Raw genomic sequence first — 22,343 nt, forward strand, 5'->3', positions numbered from 1 at the left:
GTCACCCAAATGTCCACCAGTAGTAAACAGCCCAAATATCCATCAATCATGAAAAAAATATCCAACCGGATACTATGTAATCATGAAAAGCTTCAGGTAGATCTCTACATACTAATATGGAAGATGTGCAACACACACTACAAATTGAAAACAAGGTACAAACCGGGTATACGTGAGTCTATGTGTAGACATTTCTTAAAGCGACTGTTTAGATGTGGGAATATATATTTTTAAAATATCCCCAAAATTGCTAATAGTGATTACTTCCGGGAAGAAGAACTTGGGGTGGGAAGAGTCTATATTCCATTTAATACTCTTCAGAATGTACATATATATGTATTCTTTCCATTTAAACATTGAAATTTTATTTTTAATATGTAAATAAAAGCCAAATCAGTGTGACAGAAAACATGGGTGTTCTCTTCTTGATCTGTCTGCAAATGTTATATTTCTAATGTATAGTCTTAATATATCAATGCTACACTGCACTTAGAGAAGCTGGTAATAACATGTCCATCTAGGTCTTTTCCCACTTGGGTCTTCCCCCCGCCCGTTACTAATACTCAAATGTCCTTACCAAAGAAGAATGTTCATACCTCTTAAGCAGGTTATTGAGAAACTACAAATGTCCTGTGTGATAATATCCCTAAATTTAGGTTTTAAAAAATAATTAATTATAAAAGAACTCCAATGATTCTAAAGGAAACCATACTTCAAAAGAATTTTCCAACACAAATAAGCCTAATTATTTAGCGGCATTTTCCAGTCAGGGGCAAAGAAGTCATTTCCAAAATTAGCAATTCAAACTCATATTTTAACATTATAAGGCAATTACAACTATACGCTTAATAATATGGAAGGCAGTAAACGTGGTACACCATGAGATTTTAAAATGAAACAAATTAGCCGAATTTGAGTTTCTTACCTAATGTAGCATGATTTTCTTGTTCCTGACTCTTTTCCAAAAAGGCCATCATTTTTGAATATTTGTCAGTCCACCAAGGATTATACTTCAAAATCTGTTCAATCGCCTCATCTTCAAAAAAGTCAGCTCTAGGAAAAAACATTGAAAGAACTTACTATACAGGATTTCACTGGCTTTTACTTTTTAACATTTTATCTTAACTCATATTTGTACTAGAAATACAGATTTTAATTCAAAGTACATTTCAAGGAAAGACTGAACACTATATTTACTTTCTTTGTAGTTACTAACCACAAACATAAGTTATTTACCATAAAACAAAAGTAAGTATCTGCCTAAAGGGATATATAACATTGCTGATCTCTTTTTTTTTTTTTTTTAACTTTTTTTAAAAGAGATGGGTCTCACTCTGTCATTCAGGCTAGAGTACAGTAGTAACATAATCACAGCTCACTGCAGCCTCAAACTCCTGGGGTCAAGCAATCCTCCTGTCTCAGCCTCTCAAGTAGCTATGACTATAGGCACATGCTACTGTGCCTGGCTAATTTCTATTTTTTCATAGAAACAGGGTCTTGCTTCCTTGCCCAGACAGGTCTTAAACTCTCGGCCTCAAGTGACCCTCCCACCGCAGCCTCCCAAAGTGTGATGGGATTACAGGCTTGACCCACTGTGTCCAACCTCTGATCTCTTTAAATAGAAGGTACATAGAAGACTGGTCCTACCCTGAAGTCCCATCCCATATTCGATGATGTGAAATGAAGCAAATCTGAAGACACATTGGACTGAAATCTAGCACTTGTGCTAGGTATGCAAGTACTACAGACTTTAGTAAAATTTCAATAAAGGAAAAAATTTTTGAACTCAACCAGCAAAGAAAAACAAGCAGATGAGTAGGAAATTCAGGATACTGCATCTCCACAAAGAGGCTAAAAGGGGCTACACACACACACACACACACACACACACACACACACACCATTTTTGGCATGTGCACTCATATTTTCTACCAAGATAAAATCTATTTTATTAAGATACTAATTTTAAAGTTCCTTAAACTACTGAAGAAGATAAAAGCAACATTTGTAGAGAACAGAAAGCTAATTTTCCTGCACTCTACATTCCTGTTTTAACTAGAAAAATAACAGCCACATTCAAAATACACCTCTCACTCTTGGAGGACACTTATTCAGAAATGATTCTATCTTGCATTCAAAGTTGGAAATTGGTATTCTTGGGAAAAGCATTAACAAGGTATAACTCATGGTGAAAATTTTATTTATATTTTAGTTAACTAGAAACTCAAGGAATTGGTTGCTTTGATACACTGAATTTTCTAACTGATAGTTTTACAACCTTATAGTTGTAAACTATAATCTTATATCAGTTTCTAACTGATAGTTTTCCACAGCCTTCCCTTTCAACTGAGATACTGAAATCACTTAAAAATTAGAAAGATCACAGACAACTTACGGAGTTCTTTGTATGTTCCAGGCACCGCACTAAAAGCTTTGCATCCATTATTTCCTTGAATCCTCACACCATCACTATAGGCATGGGGTACTATCAATATCCTCATTTTACAAAGGTAGAAACTGAGGCTCAGAAAAGTTTTGTATCTTGGCCAAGTTCAGAGAACAAGTAAAAACCATAGCTAGGATGTAGACATACTGAACTCTTACTTCAGACTCCAAGCTCTTAACCAACATAAATATTCCATTTTTATATATGAGGAAATAAAGTACATATTAGACAAAACTGAACAGCTAATATCTTGAAATAGGAATTCTCAATAACAATTTCCAACAGGTGCACAGACATATGAGACAAGGACAAAATAGCTGCTTCATAAACTAATCCTGCTAAGCCTATTTTCTTATTAGCTATCTCTTTCTCCTTAAAGTGAAGGAACTCTTTTGAATTGAAGTTCTACTATAAACTCATCCACAAATCAGAACGTGAGCTTTTTTCTAGGATATGAATTTCAAAGGGATAAACAATAACAATAAATGGCTAAAATGCTAAATAAGTCATTCATTCAACAGAAAGTACTGACATTGTCCCATGTTCCATGATCCATGTTAGGCACTGGAGTTCCATTCATGACAAGACACAGACAGTCCTGGCCCTCACACAACTTACAATCCCATGGGAGAGTCAAGCAATTACAATATAGCAAAATGCTATGACATATCAGCAGTACAGGATTCTAGGGCAAAATAAATTAGAATGACAGGCAAGGACCCTGGAGGATATAATACCTAAACCAATGGTTGAATGATAATGAACAGTTAACCAGATGAAGGGGGTGGGACAGAGTATTCTGTAATGAAAAACTGGTTGGCGAAGGCTAGAAAACAAGAAGGCACATTTAAGGGAAAAAAAGTTGAAAGAAGCTGAACATAATATAGTGGCAACCACCTTGTAAGCCATGTTTAAAAAATCTCAAAGATTATCCCTACCAACTAAACACTTAAAAGCTTTTTACATAGGGGAATGACATTAGCATGGTTTAGAAACATCACTCTTATTGCAGCCTGGAAAATGATTTAAAGGGAGAAACCTGGAGAAGCAGACATAATGGTGGCCTAGGATAAGAGAGTGGCAGTGGACATGGAGAAAAGTGGATGAATCTGACCTATACGTAGATGACAGAACCCTCAGGTTGTAGGGAATGAAGAGCTCGAGGAGTGAAAAATGACACTGAGAATTCTGGCCTCCACAACTCAGTGGACAACAGTGTCCTTCGTTGAGACAGGGAAGCTAACAGACATGAGTGAGAAATAACGACTCCTGCTTGGGATAGGTTGAGTATGACATGCCTTTTTTTAGGATTTACAAACAGACCCATCCAATAGGTAGGTGGACATACAAGTCTGATGCTCAAGACAGAGATATGAGAGTCATAAGCATTTAAACCAAGAAGAGGATAAAATTGCCCAGGAAGAACTGGCACAGTGAGAGAAAAGGGCCTTGGACACCACAGCGCAGAGGACACCAAAGGCAAGAGTAAAGGAGCCTAACTGAAAAGATGCTGTTTTCCTCCCCAAGGGACCATGATGAAGGGAAAAAGAAAACTGGCTTGGTAACATGGTATTTCTACCACCTCCATCCCCCTCCCCACCAAAAACACCTCCAAAATGTTTGATTATTTTGAGTAAAATTTCACTAATACAGTCCTAGTAATCTGAACTGTGGTCTATGCTTGAATTGTCCATGAATTAAGAGTTTCATGAACAAGCGCTGACGGTGACTAATGTTTTACTTTTCATAATAAATTACTTTCAAGTTTTGTCTGTTTTTTCATCTGAGATCTCAATTTTTTTTCAAGACTTTTTTTTTTTTTTTTTTTGAGACAGAGTCTCACTCTGTTGCCCAGGCTGGAGTGCAGTGGCGCAATCTCGGCTCACTGCAAGCTCCGCCTCCTGGGTTCACGCCATTCTCCTGCCTCAGCCTCCCAAGTAGCGGGGACTACAGGCGCCCGCCACCATGCCCAGCTAATTTTTTTGTATTTTTAGTAGAGATGGGGTTTCACCATGTTAGCCAGGATGGTCTCAATCTCCTGACCTCATGACCCACCCCCTCAGCCTCCCAAAGTGCTGGGATTACAGGCGTGAGCCACCATGCCCCGCCTTTTTCAAGACTTTCAAGGTCACTAATTGAACAAGCATTCACTGAATGCCCTCTACGTGCATCATCAGGAAGATGAAGATCTGTAAAACTCACTTCTGCCCTTAAGGACTCCACAATTTAAGGAGAACCATGTACACAAATACAGAACATTATAAAACAATGCGGTAAAAAACAAGACAAACTGTAACAGGGGAGCACTGAGGTGGGCTTCCTAAGCCAGTCTAACAGGGCAAGTGCATGGAAGAAACAATGAGCCTAGTCTGAGGAGATAAGCAACCACTATTCAGGCAATGTGGGGTCAGGGGAAATAAATGGCAAAGGGATACCATGATAAAAGGAAATATATGAGAAGCAGTGTGGGTTGGGCGTGGTGGCTCATGTCTGTAATCCCAACACTTTGGGAGGCCAAGGCAGGTGGATCACTTGAGGTCAGGAGTTCAAGACCAGCCTGGCCAACATGGTGAAACTCTGGTCTCTATTAAAAATACAAGTTAGCTGGGCATGGTGGTGCACACCTGTAATCTAAGCTACTCAGGAGGCTGAGGCGGGAGAATGACTTGAACCCCGGGAGGCAGAGGCTGTGGTGAGCCAAGATCGCACCACTGCACTCCAGCCTGGGCGACAGAGCAAGACTCTGTCTCAAAAAAAAGAGAGAGAAAAGCCGTGTGGTATAGGTGGGGAAATGCAAACATTCATTATTGCTGTGGTGTAAAACGTGAGCAGGGAGTGGCAAAAGTGAAGCTACAGAGGTAGGCAGGGTCGGGATCACAGAGAAATTGCGATGACACACAAAGGAGTTAGGTACTTTAAGCAGAAGAGCACCAAGGACAGAGTTAAGCAGATTTTCATTTTCAGCACGTAAGACATCATACTAATGGTTCATGGTTGATGGATCTGAAGAAGTCCAGACTAGAAGCAGGGATGCCAGTTAGGCAGTTAGTGAGTGCTGCACTAAACCAGACACAGATGAGGGCCAGAAACTGATGAAGTGAAAAAAAAAAAAAATACTACAGAGAAAAATGGTACAACTTCAGGATTGATTGAATGTGTGGGATAAGAAAGAAGGCAAAGATGAATCCCCGCTTTCTAACCTGGGTGAATAGAGTGAAAAATGGGGCATCAATCAAGTTAGAAAATTCACAAAGACTTTAGAAGTAAAAGGATGAGTTCAATTTTGGACATGTTGAACAGAGGAGTCAAGTCAGTGGGATGCCTAGTCACTCTCTTCAATATGCTTCTTCTTCATAGCACTTGATTACAATAAAACCCCTTTAGTACGCTTCTTCTTCATAGCACTTAATTACAATAAAAATAGTGTCTACTTCCTCCACTACAATGGAAGCCCCATGGACAACACAGAGATTGAGATCTTGCCGTAGGCACCACGGTGTCTTTGGTATCTATGACACTGCTTAGCATGTACTTCATTCAGACAAATATTTGTTGAACAAATAAATACATAAATGAAAGAAGGGATACATAAAATTGTATTCTAATGCTTTTTCTCAAGTTCTGTGTTTTGAATTGAGAGCCACCTCAGAAGCAGGTGATCTTGCTCCCAGCCATCCAATTACTATTTGTTGTCTTAATATCTACTCAATAAACCCAAGAACTTAATTAATATACATCTTTTTTCACAAATTTAGAGTAATGAAAAATTATCACAATTTAAAATGGTACAACAAATGGTATAAGATCATTTTTGTCCCTTTTCTTATCTCACAGATGTTTAGAATACTGACTGAATTCTTTTGTTTTCTCCCAAAGAAATAGGCAAGATTTTATGAACTGGTTAATGTAAAATGTATGCCAACAATTAGAAAACTATTTGGGAAGAAGAAAACCAAACACTCTCAGCAAGAGAAGTATGAATACTTGGCTATAATAATAAGCAGTGAGGAATGACTATTAAGAAATGCTTCAAGATGCTGTCAACATATTTTAGTGTAAAAATAATACCCCAAAGGAATTACAAATAAGAAATGGATAATAAAAAACAATCAACATTTATGGATCATCTGTTACATGCCCAGCACTATAGTGAGCTGCAAAACATGCCAAAAAAAAAAAAACAGATTATACCAAAATAACATCCAGATTTTACAATAAAAGACTTTTAAATAACAATCTAAAATCATATATGTGCCTTTGAAATGTATAAATTTTTCTTTACAATCAACTGACTTCACCGTGTTCTGCTTAGGCTGAAATTAAAATTCATTTTCCTAAAGCCCCCCAAATCCTGACAACATGAGGAAACACTATGACTTGTAAAGACAAGTCAAACAACTTACAAATAGGTAATATTATGCTAATCTTATATACATTATTATGCTAATATTATATACATTATGTATTACATGTGTATATCACAATGTATTATCTGCATGGTGATAGTAATTTAAAGTGAGCCTTTTTTTCTCCACTGTTTTAACCACTAACAACAAGAAAAAAAAGCACTGAGCTAAAAAAAAGAATTTTTAAATAAAAATTAAAAAGAATTTTAGTTGCATTTCATTTAATATTAATACATTTGGGTGAGTCAGTCAGCTAATATAAATAGTGAGTAGTAACACAAAAATTACACTGAGCCAAAGTCTTACTGCTATCAGAAAAGTCACAAAGAATCTTTACCTCATGACTCCCACTCTCCTCACTTAGCCCATAACTAAATTTAAACCATTCTTGTAAGAACAGTTCTTTGAGAAGTGGAAAGAATATTTCATGCATAGTATTAAAGAAAATGAGCTTCTGGATAAAGACACACAGAAGATGGAGAAAAATAAGGGCTGCTTATAATATCACACTGCTAACTATAAATTCCAATTTCCTAATTCTCTCAGGCCATAGTTATTCTTCTAGTTTTAGAAGAGAGGAGATAGGCAGTTCTTCTAATTAAGCTCCCTCCCACTTGAAATTTCAGTCTTGTAAAGTTCATTCTGTTTTTATGCTAGCCTGAGAAATTTGCTGACAATGAAATTTCCACTTTAAATATTCAGCATGATTTTAAATGGGTTTCTTCAAATTGCTCTTCAGTGGACCTTTAAAACCACAATTGGAGAGATAAAGGTAATTAGAAATAGCAGTGTAAATGGAGTTGAATCTCTCAGATGTCCTCCAAAATGTAACATACCCTGCTCTTACCCAGTTTCCCTTAGGATGTTGAACAGTTCAACCATTTATCATTACACATCACTCATTCCATTTGCACATCACAAGATATATCCCTGCCATTCCAATTAGTATCCTACTGTGTCACAGGAGATAGAATGTTAATCACGAGAGCTACAGCAGTTAAACTGAAATAGTGTACATGAAAAGGATATACAAAATGACAAATGGAGAGACTCTTTTCAAGTCTTGGCCAAGCCACTTAGTAGTAGTGTGACCTTGAGCAAGTCCCTTAAACTCCTCTCCTCATCTGTTGTGAAAACTGAATAATCACATGAGTGCACTTTATAAGCTGCAGGTACTATACCAATATAAGGAGATATGATGATTATAGCTATATATGTAACAGTTTGGAAAATCTTGACCCAGAATTAATAATTAAGGTCTACATCAACATAAAACCCTCATTCTCCACGCATCCTAGCAGAGCCACATGTCCAAGAGAGGTCAAGCGACAATCCTTGGAAGAAATGCTGCTATCCTGGCCAGTGGGAGGTATCACAATCTCTCAAGTCATCATGTACCTATCTGTTAATTAGATAAGTTCTTTATGCAAATTTAAGCCTGATGGAGATACATTATAGCCAAAAACACAATTAATGCCAGTGGGAAATAATACAGCAAAACTTCAAATTAGATTCTATTTATTCTCTACCACGAAGAATAATTATTTGTTCATTGGAAACATATCACTGATTACAAGGGCTAGTGGATGAAAGTTATTAGGAAGATCCTGGGATCAGCCAAGAAATGTGGTACAGGTACATTTAAATTCTTAAAGAAATTGAAACATATTTTCATTTATGCATACCATTAATCACAACCAAAAGTTTACTTAAAAGAAGTGTAATAGTCTCATGAATTCAGTATTATATTTTTAAGCCTGGCGAGAAAAAAACTAAAAAGTATGTTAGAAGAGTTCTCTGTTGCTAAGATGAACAACTTGAGATATAAGAGGCAACATCTTACAAAGATTACAGAGGTACAACCATTGTAGGTTAATTCAAATGTCCATTAAGGTCTTCAGTCATCAATAATTTCTGGAATCCGAAATGCACATCCCTAGCAGAGTTTAAAAGACACTCAAAAATTTTAAAATAAATGTCAAGTAAATTATTTAATCCTCAAAAATCTCATTACTCACAGATAATGATCAGGATCAAACTTGGCCAGCTCAGCGGCCAGGCGCTTCTGTCTTCGTTCAGCTGCAGGGGTGAAATCTGGATCCTTAATATCAATAACATCACTCAGTTCATCCTGAGGACACCCAGAAAAGAAAGAATAATTGCTATCTCCTATTTTTAGCATTTAAAACTCAAATTTTATACAAAATGCCAAAGCACAGGAAGAACCTAACTGATCAGTAAACCATGATGCCACCTGTGACATTTAGATTCAAATCCAACAAATGTTTAAGCACCTACTACTTGGTAGGGCCTGTGAGATCTTTCTCATAAATTATCTCATTTAATCCTTACAACAAACAAGCTGACTGACAGATATTAAGGCTATAAAAGTTTAACATAAAAAACAGAATGGAATAAACCCCTACAAGCAAGCAGGAACATTTAACTCAACATCCATTTCCCCATTTACACCTAGAGATTTGAAAGTTATTAAACGTAGAGTGGCTGGATTTTCAGACATCTACACGGTCTCTTCTTTCTTCCTATAGTCTAGCTCAGCTGGTCTAAAGAAGCATTACCGTACAGATTGAATATCCCTTATACAAAATGCTTGGGAAGAGAGTGTTTTGGATCTTGAATATTTCTAAATTTTGGAATACTTGCATTATACCAGTTAAGCAGCCCTATTCCAATAATCCCACATGCGAAATGCTCCAAAGAGTATTTCCTTTGAGTGCCATGTTTGTGCTCAAAAAGTTTTGGATTTTGGACCATTTCAGATTTCAGATCCTGTAAAAGACTACATACAAGCTGGGTGTGGTGGCTCACTCCTGTAACCCCAGCACTTTGGGAGGCCAAGGCAGGCAGACTGCTTGAGCCCAGGAGTTCGAACCACCCTGGGCAACATGGAGAAACCCCATCTCCACAAAAAATACAAAAATTAGCCAGGCATGGTGGCTCATGCTTGTAGTCCCAGCTACAAGGGAGGCTGAGGTGGGAGGATGGCTTGAGCCCAGGAGATGGAGGCTGCAGTGAGCCAAGATCATGCCACTGCACTCTGGCCTGGGCGACAGAGCCAGACTCTATCAGAGATGATAGATAGATAGATAGATAGATAGATAGATAGATAGATAGATAGATAGATAGATAGACAGACAGACAGACAGATAGATGGATGATAGACAGATAGATAGATAGATAGATAGATAGATAGATAGATAGAATTTTTACGGGCAATTTTGATGCACAGTATATGACTTTCCATTGAAAAATGTAAAAGTCGAATCCTAAGAATCAGTTTTCCTGTCATTGCCTTTGCCTAGATGCATACATACTGATATGGAACATGTTTCCCAAGCCAAATCCTACAGAATAAATGGACATTAGGAAAACTGCCTAGGATGCCATATGGTCTTTATTCGTTTCACCAGAATTGCGAAGCAAAGAAACCTTATACAATGTGAAATACTCCTAAAATTGTGTCTTTTTTTCTTTCTTCTGTCTCACTACTCCTGCTACCAACCACAAGTGAGAAGTACAGAAACTGGAAGAAGCTTAAAGAATATTAGCTGAAAAGAAATCAAGGGAAATAACTTAGAGAGTTGAGAAAGCAAACTGTTAAGACATTTATAAACAGACTTATAGGTTGGTGCCTAATAGGCAAGTTTAAAAGTTGATGGCTGTAATGCAAAAACCACTGCAACAAATGTGAGCAATGCTGAATCAGTTAGAGATAGGATAGAGCCTCTCCAATCAAAATTTCCATATAATAATTTTAAAATTCTCTCATCCCTATCACAATCCATTTAGCTTAAGTAGTATCAATAATATTTCATCTAAGCACATACTAATATAATAAAAAGGGTCCAGAGACCTTTTTAGAAGTCACTGGAACAGGCCGGGCCCAGTGGCTCATGCCTGTAATCCCAGCACTTCGGGAGGCCAAGGCGGGCGGATCACCTGAGGTCAGGAGTTCAAGACCAGTCTGGCCAACATGGCGAAACCCCGTCTCTACTAAAAAATACAAAAATTAGCCAGGTGTGGTGGCGTGCACCTGTAATCCCAGCTACTCAGGAGGCTGAGGCAGGAGAATTCTTTGAACCCAGAAGGTGGAGGTTGCAGTGAGATGAGATCGTGCCACTGCACTCCAGCTTGGGCAATAGAGCAAGACTCCATCTCAAAAAAAAAGAAGTCGTCGTCACTGGAACATCCAGAACATCTTAATGTTGTCAAGTACAAACATTCTGGGCAAAAACCAGATTACTGGCTGTCTCCAAACTTACAAAAATTTACATTCCAAAAGTTCCTTTGCAATTTACTTTTTGGAGAATTAGAATATATTATACCATATCCTACTGAAATACTATTATGTAGTATTTTCCTTTGAGTGCCATGCTGGTGCTCAAAAAGTTCTGGATCTACATCTCAGCTCCAGTGGAATCATGCAGACTCTCTGAACCTCAGCTTTCTTACTGTCAAGTCCAGTAACATCTCTATCACAGCACTAGGTATTAGTTTCCTCTTTGCTTCCTGTGCTATAACAAATTTGCACAAACTTGGGCTTAACACAATGCACATTTATTATCTTACAGTTCTGGAAGTCAGAAGACCAAAATCAGTCTCCCTGAGCTAAAATCAAGGGCTACACTCCTTTCTAGAGGTTCTAGGAGAGATTGTTTGTCCATACCATCTTAGAAGCTGTCCTCATTCCTTGGTTTGCAGCCCCACATCATAATACCATTCCTCCATCAGCTTCTTTTTTTTTTTTTTTTTTGAGACAGAGTATCCAGGATACTCTCCCCATCTCAACATCCTCAACATAACCAAATCTGCAAAATACCTTTTGCAACATAATGTAACATATTCTGGGGAGAAGCACAAGGACATTTTTTTGGGGAAGGGGACAGTTTTCTGTACTACAGGCTGTTGTGAGGATTAAATGAGATAATACAAGTAAGGAACAAGCAGAGGCCTCAATACATTCAATAATGTCGGTTTCCTTTCTCTCTGTCTCCCTCTTCCACTGCTGCTCCCTGTTACTCACTGGCAAACTTCCTACTGAGTACAAAGCCTCCCCTCCACTTCCATTTCCTCACTTGCTAATAGCAATTTTAAAACACAGACTTACATGTTCTGCTTCATTATTTCACCTTGACCAGAAATAAAGTCATAAATGGGGTATAACCTGTGAGTCTCTGTAGACAACTCTACATTTCAGAGGGTAAATGGACCGACATAACCCCAGAAATTTAAAAACTCTAACTGCGCTGAGAGTAGCCCCAGACTGTGAGCACAGCTCTGCACAATCTAGCCCATCTTGTTCTTCAACCCCATGTTCACCGTCCTCTTCTGGCTCAAATACGCTCAAGCCACTCACTATTCTTTCCATTTCTAGATAACGTCAATCAATTCCAATCCTGAGCCTTTACGCTTACAGTACCCTTCTCATCATTGAGAACTCAGTGCAAATGTCACTTTCTCAAAGGAGTCTTCTCTGGGCATCCTAGCCAAAGTAGTACCCCCAGTCTTTCACCTCACCCCATCCTTTCCCTTTACCTGTAACTATCTGTCATTATCCTGTTTACTTGTTATGTGTTTACATAATTACTGTCCATCTCCTCACTAGAATGTTCTCTGAGGGTAGAGATCTCATCTATCATCTTCTTCACTGTATCCCCATCACTGTGCCCGGTGTCCAATATTAAATCATCTATTCTGCAAATAGTGCTAGAGGGCCTGCTATGGAGTAGAAACTGTTCTGGGTGCCAAAGTGGAAATCCAGTAATAAACACACAGCACACAGACCAGGTCTCTACTCTCATGGGAAGGAGAACTGACCAATAAGAAAGCAGCTCTTGGACAGGCATTGTGGCTCACGCCTGTAATCCCAGCACTTTGGGAGGCCAAGGCGGGCAGATCACCAGGTCAGGAGATAGAGATCATCCTGGCTAACACGGTGAAACCCCGTCTCTACTAAAAATACAAAAAATTAGCCGGGTGTGGTGGCGGGCACCTGTAGTCCCAGCTACTCGGGAGGCTGAGGCAGGAAAATGGGGTGAACCCGGGAGGCGGAGCTTGCAGTGAGCTGAGATCACGCCACTGCACTCCAGCCTGGGCAACAAAGCAAGACTCCGTCTCAAAAAAAAAAAAGAAAGCAGCTCTTTTTCCTCTTTCCTCTTCCCCCTGGCCTCCAGATTCAGGGCCTCCACTATAGTCATGCAACATGTACACAGCAGAACATGAGTGTTCAGAGCAGTGCAAGCCCCACCCAGGCTTGTTCTATGCACAGTCACATGCAGCAGCCCTGTTCAAACTGGACTCTAAAAAGAAACAGAAACAAACTAAAAGCAAAGGTAGCTTGGGGTTTAGAAGTAGAAGGCATTAATCAACCAAAGGGAAGAAAGAGGATGAGAAGTGTTCAACTACAGTAGGAAAAAAAGGTTCCTTTTTCTTTTAAACAATTGCTATGGCCACTAGTTATTAGAGCTATTTAAAGATAGACATTGCCAAGAAAAGGTCAGGTAGGATTTAAATTAAGTTTATGGAAGTTTAGGCACAGGTTAGGCAGAGACAATCCAGAAAGAAAATAAAGAACAATGAACACATCTGGCTAGTGGGTATCCCGGAAACAATGGCCTCAGGTCCCTGTGTAGCCAAAAGGACAGGGCCAGCAAGCCTGGCGTCCTGCAGCACTGGCAGCAGCAGTCCCAGGAGCTTGCTGGGTTGGCGCCCAGAGACTCTAGGATTGTTGCTGCTGGCAGCCACCACTGCCAGAAGCTTGTTGTGAAGTCCTGACTTTGAGCAGCTAGGGCAGTTTTCCAAAGGCACCCTGGTGGCTGGCAGCAATTTCAGAAAGGAAAAAAAGACTGGGGATAGGAAGAATATATCTCTGGGTATGGGGAGTGGAGGGAGGAATGTTCAAAGAGAATTTGTTTCAGCAAAAATATTTTATTTTCTTATTATCAGTATAAAATATAGATGTTTACAAACAAATCCTGTCTAAAAAGTTGGAGGCAAAAAAATATGAAAGACTTCTGTAAAGGGCTAAATTATTCAATGAAGAAAAGATCCCTCAGTGTTGAAATTATGAATAATTTTTTTACTTTCTTCTTTGTATATTTTTATAATAAATCTGTATTGCTTTTATTATTAGAAACAAAAAAGCCATTTTTCATCTACAGGGGGAGGAAAAAGCTGTAAAAATACTCATATGAGTAGTCAATGAAGCTGTATGGACATCTCTTCATCTATAGGCAGAACTAGAAAAAATAAACTTGTGAGAAAATACTATTTGAGAAAATGGTGAAGTTTTCAAAATCATTTTAAATTAGAAAAGATGTTCTAAAATCTCTTATTTGTGATCATCATTTCAGTTTCTTCTAGCTGCTTTACTCATAGAATTAGGGTCATATTATTAACCTTACATGATCACTCAGTTTTGAACCACTTGTTACGGCTGCCATAAACAGCAGCTGTGAATGAAGAAGAACTCTACAAGTAATTAACCAATTATGCAAGATTTCTGTGGCAATATTTCATAAAACCTATCTACCTTAATATCTTCAAGAGGATACATTTCAATTTTTGGAATCTTGGGCTTACACTTGATTTCTAAGTCTGGTTGCTGCACACGCAGTGCTCAGCACAGTGCTATCCAAATCCCCTGGAGCAAGGTGAGCTTCAGGATTCACTCTTTCAGAGTTTAGAAAGGTAACATGGTGCACACACCATACTTTATGTAATAACCTCTAAGATGTCTGGGGCAGCGCCCATATCCAAACACTACTTCTACAGGAAATTTTTGAATACGTACACTAAGTGGGATTTAAAAATCTGTATCGGTTCAGGTTAAGTTTTGCCACCAAATTAAATATTTTAACTTTTAGTTTTCAGAACTTTGTGTGATCCCAGTATTGCACATATGGGGTTATAAACCTGTACTACAAGTAGTATACTATTTACGTTATAAAACCCTTAGAGTTTTCCCAAATGCTCAGTTGTTTTTCCCCTACATTAGGGAATATTCATTCAAATTGTTTAGAAAAGCAATGCTCTTGCAATTAAAATTTGAAGAAGAGTTTAATGATTTTAGATGATTAAGCCATTTTAAAAGCTTAGAATAATAAACATTAAATTCAGTGGTTCATTTCCTTTTTTATTTTTTTGAGATGTAGTCTCACTCTGTCACCCAGACTGGATGGAGTGCAGTGGCGCAATCTCGGCTCCCTGCAACCTCTGCCTCCTGGGTTCAAGCGATTCTCCTGCCAGCCTCCAAAATGGCTGGGATTACAGGCATGCGCCACCACGCTCAGCTAATTTTTGTATTTTTAAGTAGAGACAGGGTTTTGCCATGTTGGCTAGACTGGTCTCAAACTCCTGACCCGCCTGCCTCAGCCTCCCAAAGTGCTGGAATTACAGGTGTGAGCCACTGCACCCAGCCACAGTGGTTTATTTCTGATGGGAAACAGAGGGATGTAAACAAAAAGGGATTAGACAGGAGTCAACTATATTGGTTAATGTTTAATGTTTTTAACCTAAGTAATAGATGTCTAGGTATTTGATACATTAGTTAAGACATCCAAAAAGAAAGTATAGCAGCTTAAAAAAAAAAAAAAACCTAAATTATTAAGTGAACATTTTCAAGATACAAGAATTTCTGACCTAAAAGGCACTCATTCTAGGCTCACATTATGGCATTCCTACAACATCTCAGCAACCTGTCAGAAATCTTTCAAAAGGATTTTCCGTAAACAGAAGCAACAATTAAGTAACAAATCCCTGGCCTCAAAGAAGCACTTCTAATGTAAATGTAAAATCCATACTTAGCCTGTGTGACATTTATTATCATTCATGTACAGCGTTAGATTGGCAAGCCCAAAACAGCCTGACCACAAACTATCTCTTGGCCAACAATTGAGGGCCATTCACTGTAGTTCCTGCTACAGACAAAACTGACTCTACTCTAATTACCTCTGAGATCACCAGCGATTGTGATCAAGCAGAGAATATGGGCAGACCACAACTCAGCAGAAAAACACCTAAGTTTTTAGAAGGAAGGCTATTTCACCAGCATTTGCTCCTAAGTAAATCTCAATGTTGTTCCCTTTAAGGAATTTTGAGACCATTTTATATTTTTCAAAGGCAGGAGTCTTTACAGCATTCTACACTTTCCAAAGAGTTTTCACATGCATTATCTTTTTAAATTTTCAAGACAGCCTTATAAAGTAGGTGGGCAAATTTATCTCCACTTTCCAAAGAGGAGACAAAACTTACTTGTGGTCAAATAACTGGCCTGGTATCCCAAATCTTAACAGAGGTAGGAGCGGGACCAGAACCCAGGTCTTTTCCCTCTCCTTCGTAAATTCAAATATGTCTTAAGATAATAAACCACATTCTAAACAGGTTTTGTTTTGTTGTGTTTGTTCTTTGAGACAGAGTCTCACACTGTTGCCCAGGCTGGAGTGCAGTGGCGAGATCTCAGCTCACTGCAACCTCTGCTTCCCGGGTTCAAGGGATTCTCCTGCCTCAGCCTCCTGAGTAGCTGGGACTACAGGTGGGTGCCACCATGCCTGGCTAATTTTTTGTATTTTTAGTAGAGATGGGGTTTCACCGTGTTAGCCAAGATGGTCACGAGCTCCTGACCTCGTGATCCACCCGCCTCAGCCTCCCAAACTGCTGGGATTACACGCACCACCACATCCGGCTAATTTGGCCAACATGGCAAAACTCCATCTCTACTAAAAATAGAAAAATTAGCCAGGCGTGGTGATGGGCGCCTGTAATCCCAGCTACTTGGGAGGCTGAGGCAGGACAATCACTTGGACCCGGGAGGCAGAGGTTGCAGTGAGCCAAGATCGTGCCACTGCACTCCAGCAAAGTGAGACTCTGTCTTAAAAAAAAAAAAAAAAAAAAAAAGAATAAATAAACAATAGGCTGGTCACAGTGGCTCATGCCTATAATCCCAGAACTTTGGGAGGCCAAGGCAGGCAAATCACTTGAGTTTGAGACCATCCTGGCCAACATGGTAAAACCCCATCTCCGCAAAAAATACAAAAACTAGCCAGGCGTGGTGGTAGGCACCTGTAATCCCAGCTACTCAGGAGGCTGAGGCAGAAGAATTGCTTGAACCCTAGAGGCAGAGGCTGCCATCAGCCGAGATCGTGCCACTGCACTGCACTCCAGCCTTGGCGACAGGGTAAGACTCCGTCTCAAAAAAAAAAAAAAAAAGAGAATAGAAAATGGTGCCTACTATACACCAAGAATTAGACAATTTGATCAAAACACACAATCTCATTCTCGCCAGGAACATTCTATTTCATTTATATACAGAAAAGAAGAGACATCATGCCGTAAGTACATGATCTCACTTTTCAGAAGTATAAAACATAAAGCTTTGCAGGAAGTATGAGAGAGGAGTTCTGCTTTGTACTTGGGAAACTTCATGTCTAGAATACTGAATAAAGGGGAGAAAAAAGAAAGCCACGGGGTGTCTGTAAGAGCAGTACAGTTAGGCAGAACAGCCAATGAAATGGAAGGGAATGCACATCTATGTACTTTAGCTGTGCTAAGTGCTTTAAATACAATCACCTCCTGTAATATTATTTTTAAAAACTACCAAGTGTAAGCATAACTGAAATTAAAATATCCAAATGGAAAAACCCTATAGATCAAGATCTTTCAGAAAGACAACATACCTGTAACCGTTGCAACACTCCTGATCGTAAGTTTCCAAATCCATAGTGGCACTGCGGATTCAAAGCACTTTCTGATACCTCTTCACAGGGTGTCTGCTCAATTTCCCAATCAAACTCTTCATCGTCAACTACTTCCTCAGGAATCTCAGAAGCACCTGAATGTGTTAAATTTTAATTTTTTTTAAGTATTGGATTTAAGTACAACTAGGGGAAGAAAAAGTATAGGAAAAAATGCCCACAAAGATGTACCAAAAGACATATACCAAATGTACTAAAAGAATATTCATAGCTCCGCTATTCGTGACAGCAAAAAAAAAAAAAGAACCAAAAATGTGGTATGTTCATACAATGGAATATTACAGAGCAATGAAAGCAAACGAATCTCAGCTAGAATATGAATAAATCTCACAAAAATAATGTTAAGTGAAAGCAGCCAGACAAAAAGAACACATACTGTATGATCTACATATGCAACGTAAAAACAGGCAAAACAGAGGATAGTGGTTACCCTGGAGAGAGGGCAAAGTAATGGAAGAATACAGGATGGTATTCTTCGGGTGTTGGAAATGCTCCATTTCTTGACAGAGGTGGTGTTCACTTTACATCAGTGGTTCCCAAACTTTTTGGCACCAGAGACCGGATTTGTGGAAGACAACTTTTCCACAGATCAAAGAGGTAAAGAGATAGTTTTGGGGGATGAAACTGTTCTACCTCAGATCATCAGGCTTTAGATTCTCATAGGGAGCACACAACCTAGACCCTTCGCAGGCACAGTTCACAGTAAGTTCATGCTCCTATGAGAATCTAATCTGATCTGACAGGAGCCAGAGCTCAGGCAGTAATACTCCTGGCCCTCCGCTCACCTCCTGTTGTGCAGCCAGGTTCCTAACGGGCCATGGATCAGTACTGGTCTGCAACCTGAGGGTTGGGGACCCCTGTTTTACGTAACTCACTTAACTGTATACTTCTGATCTTAGCTCAAGATGCTAATATTTTGCCAACCACAAAATGTTGTTTCAATTGGTCCAAAAATGTGAGTGATCTGGTTCAATAGGATTTTTAATGTCTTAATTATATCACCAAAGAAGCTATTTTCATATGGTTTCACATGATCACCTTATACCTGAAGTATTTTCTTCAATTTCCTATTCACTATATCCCATTTCCCCTACAAATACACAGCATTCCAAATATTTCTATTTATCCTAATTTCCTCCCAACTGTAATAAACATACCTATTTCTTCCACAAGTGGTTTTGCTGTCCTGGATTTTCTTGGTGCCAGAAGAGCAGTTAACATGTTCAGCCCCTCAAAATGCTGGCCAGGGGTTTCTTTGGGCAGGCGAATGGTAAAAATTCCTTAAAGATAAATTTGTTTTATGCTTAGATTAAAATATTTAAAAAGCTGGGCACAATAGCTTACACCAGTAATCCCAATACTCTGGCAGTCTGAGGCAGGAGGATCATTTTAGCCCAGGAGTTCAAGACCAGCCTGGGCAACATACCAAGACCCCATCTCTACAGAAAATAATAATAAAATCATTTTAATTAAAAGAAAAAAATAAATAAATAAAATAGTCAAAGACTTCACAAATATATCTGAGAAATACATGTCTTGGTAAAACATAATTCTATTTTACAGGCTCTAAAACTATGCCCTCATAGATTTGGTGAATACAAGTCAAGATAGAAAAAGGTTCTTAACAAGGGTTTTTCAGAAGCTGTCATTTCTATCAAAAATTATTAATCTGGCTGGGTAAGGTGGCTCACGCCTGTAATACCAGCACTTCGGGAGGCCGAGGCAGGCGGATCATGAGGTCAAGAGATCAACACCATCCTGGCCAACATGGTGAAACCCCATCTCTACTAAAAAATACAAAAATTAGCTGGGAGTGGTGGCATGTGCACCTGTAGTCCCAGCTACTTGGGAGGCTGAGGCAGGATAATCGCTTGAACCCAGGAGGAAGAGGTTGCTGTGAGCCGAGATCGCGCCACTGCACTCCAGCCTGGGCAACAGAGCGAGATTCTGTCTCAAAAAAAAAAAAAAAAATTATTTATCTGTGAAAGCTACAGAATACTTTAGTCTTATACAGTATGACCTTTACCTACTGATAATATTAAAAATCCAAGTTAAAACTTATAAAAATCAATGGCCTAAGAAGGTAATAGCTTAGAATTAACCAGGAGTTACTAATTAGACTTCTGGGAAAGGAGGAAAAAATCAGAATACCTAATCCAATGGAGAATGGCAACAGTTTTAAAAATACACAGAATCTTAGATACAACAATTATGGCTTAATAAGGTTTTCTGGCATGTCAGGAGATCTATCCCTAAAGTCTATGGCAGACTCAAATCCCTAAAGTCTATGTACTTCTTTTCTTTCCTTGACTGAGTTTATCTATCTTATTTAGGCTTCCCTGGGAACTTACTACATTATTTAGCACTTTGACATTTTAAAACATTTTGCCTCTTTCAGTGTACTGAACTGAATTCCAACATATCAAATACAACTCAGCCCAAATATCTCCGCATACACAATCTTCCTTAACTCCTGTGTACTTTAAAAATTTAATAATTTTGTTTCAATATGCAACTTACCTATAACTAAAAGCTGGTTTACTACCTAGGAAGGCAGTTTCACTATACTTCATTACACATTAATTACACTGCATTATGGGTTAGATCTCTGTCATTTAACCCACCCCCCCATACCCTACCCTTAGCCTAGTTCACTGAGGTCAATATTCATTGAATAAAGTACACAAGACTACACAAGGTGTTCTAAATCCGATGACAAAGGAAGCCAGTGGCTTCTATAAAGGAAAAATAAATGGGTTCATGGCTAGCTGAAATGAAGGGCTTATCAATCATGAGGAGAAAATTCAATTAGCCTTTAAATGCCACCCATGCATAGTTTCTCTCTCACCTACCTGTTATTAAAGTTCAAGTTTGAAAATTATACCAGAAAGATTCCATTCATAAGCTCATAAGTCATCTACATTTTTTATGATCAATCATTTCACATGTTCTAATTTTTACTTTTAAATGTCTACTAAATGTAGGGGAAGTACTCTAGGAAATAGAACCGGAGCAGTTAACTTTACTTTGAAGAACATTGTGAAATACTTTAAAAGACTTGTGAGGGGTGGGGAACATCAATAACAGGCACTGGACACTAAGAAACAAGAAAGAGTGATAGGAACAGATTGTATTTGAAAGACATCAAAAGGTCCCCATGGTATCTTGTAAGATTATTATGTAAATAATGTGAAAAATCCCAAGAAATAAACTAACAAAAATTCCAAAGACAATACCTTTATCTGCATCATAGGACCCTTGCTCACTTCCATTTTCTACAATTCTTCCAGGAAGGGTTAATCTGCAGATTTAACACAGGTCTCATGAAGTCCTTAAATTATAACGTAACATAAGTGGCCATCAATACTTGCAAACATTTAACCATCAAAATATATCAATCATTTTTTAAGAAGTTCCTCAGTATTTCTTTCACATTTTAATAAACTAAGTTAGATTCTTTCCCCAACCAAGAAAGTAGAAATTAGAGATGACTCATCTTTCTATTTGAATACCCCTAGTCACCAACAAAATAGATACTGAAAAAGAAAAGCCATAATAAATAGTAGTTATCACTATTGTTATAACACAAGTTGAGTATCCCTAATCTGAAAATCTGAAATGCTCCAAAATCTGAAACTTTTTGAGCACCAACATGACACCACAAAGTGGAAAACTCCACACTTGACCTCATGTGATGAGTCACAGTCAAAAAGCAGTCAAAACTTGGCTGCATACACAAAAGTATTAAAAAATTACATAAAACTATCTTCTGGCTATATGTATAAGGTGTATATAAAACAAATAAATTTTGTGTTTAAACTTGAGTTCCATCCTCAAGATATCTCATTATGTATGCAAAAATATTCCAAAACTCTAGAAAATCTGAAATTTCATATAAGGGACACTCAATCTGTACAGATAAGGGATACTCAATGGGAAACAATAAAGAAACACAAAACCAATTGATTTTATCAGGCAAATTACTACTTTAAAAAAAAAGCAGAAAGCAAAAGTGTCAAATCTCATCATTATTATGTAGGGATTTACCCCTCTTTTGTACTAAAAGAAATGAAGTGATTGGCTGGGCGTGGTGGCTTACGCCTGTAATCCTAGCACTTTGGGAGGCCGAGGTGGGTCGATCACCTTAGGTCAGGAGTTCAAGACCAACATGGCCAAAATGGAGAAACCCTATATCTACTAAAAATACAAAATTAGCCAGGCATAGTGGTGCACACCTGTAACCCCAGCCAGTCAGGAGGCTGAGGCAGAAGAATCACTTGAACCCAGGAAGGGGAGGTTGCAGTGAGCCGAGATCATTTGCCACTGCACTCCAGCCTGGGCAACAGAGTGAGATTCTGTGTCCAAAAAAAAAAAAAGAAAAAAGAAATGAAGTGATTTCCCTGCTTCCAGTTTTACCCTAGTTCAATCAGTCTTCCACTGAGGCTCCAAAATAATTTTTCTAAAACAGGAATCTAATTGTCACTTTTCTATTTTAAAAAGTGTCTATGGCTGCCTCATGTTGCCTAGATAATTTAAACTTATCAGAAGGGCATATCAGGCCCACTCCATATCATTCCAAACTTGAAATTTGAGCTTCCTTTCTTCCCATGGCCCTCCCCCTTGTTTCCTACTAAATATGATTAAAAACAAAAACAGCTGACAGTCCCAAAAGGCCCAGGACCTTTAATCCCAAGGTTTCCTCAAGCTTCAATACATTTT

General features: G+C 38.5%; 1 protein-coding gene across 7 annotated transcripts in view; it reads right to left on the reverse strand.

Annotated features, from left to right (window-relative positions):
- Positions 1 to 22,343, reverse strand: part of SHQ1 (SHQ1, H/ACA ribonucleoprotein assembly factor) — a 123,174-nt gene that overhangs the window by 98,227 nt on the left and 2,604 nt on the right. For all 7 annotated transcript variants that reach the window (XR_001740192.3, NM_018130.3, XM_011533898.3 and 4 more), the window contains exons 2-6: positions 20,861 to 20,925; positions 18,782 to 18,904; positions 17,547 to 17,701; positions 8,871 to 8,983; positions 926 to 1,053 (exon numbers count right to left, since the gene is read on the reverse strand). Coding sequence is in view for 6 of the 7 variants with exons in the window: in NM_018130.3 (NP_060600.2) it covers positions 926 to 1,053; positions 8,871 to 8,983; positions 17,547 to 17,701; positions 18,782 to 18,904; positions 20,861 to 20,925 (584 nt within the window). In the remaining variant the exon portion in view is untranslated. The remainder of the gene's footprint in view (positions 1 to 925; positions 1,054 to 8,870; positions 8,984 to 17,546; positions 17,702 to 18,781; positions 18,905 to 20,860; positions 20,926 to 22,343) is intronic.

Source organism: Homo sapiens, chromosome 3 (assembly GCF_000001405.40).
Source record: "Homo sapiens chromosome 3, GRCh38.p14 Primary Assembly".
Lineage (NCBI taxonomy): Eukaryota > Metazoa > Chordata > Mammalia > Primates > Hominidae > Homo > Homo sapiens.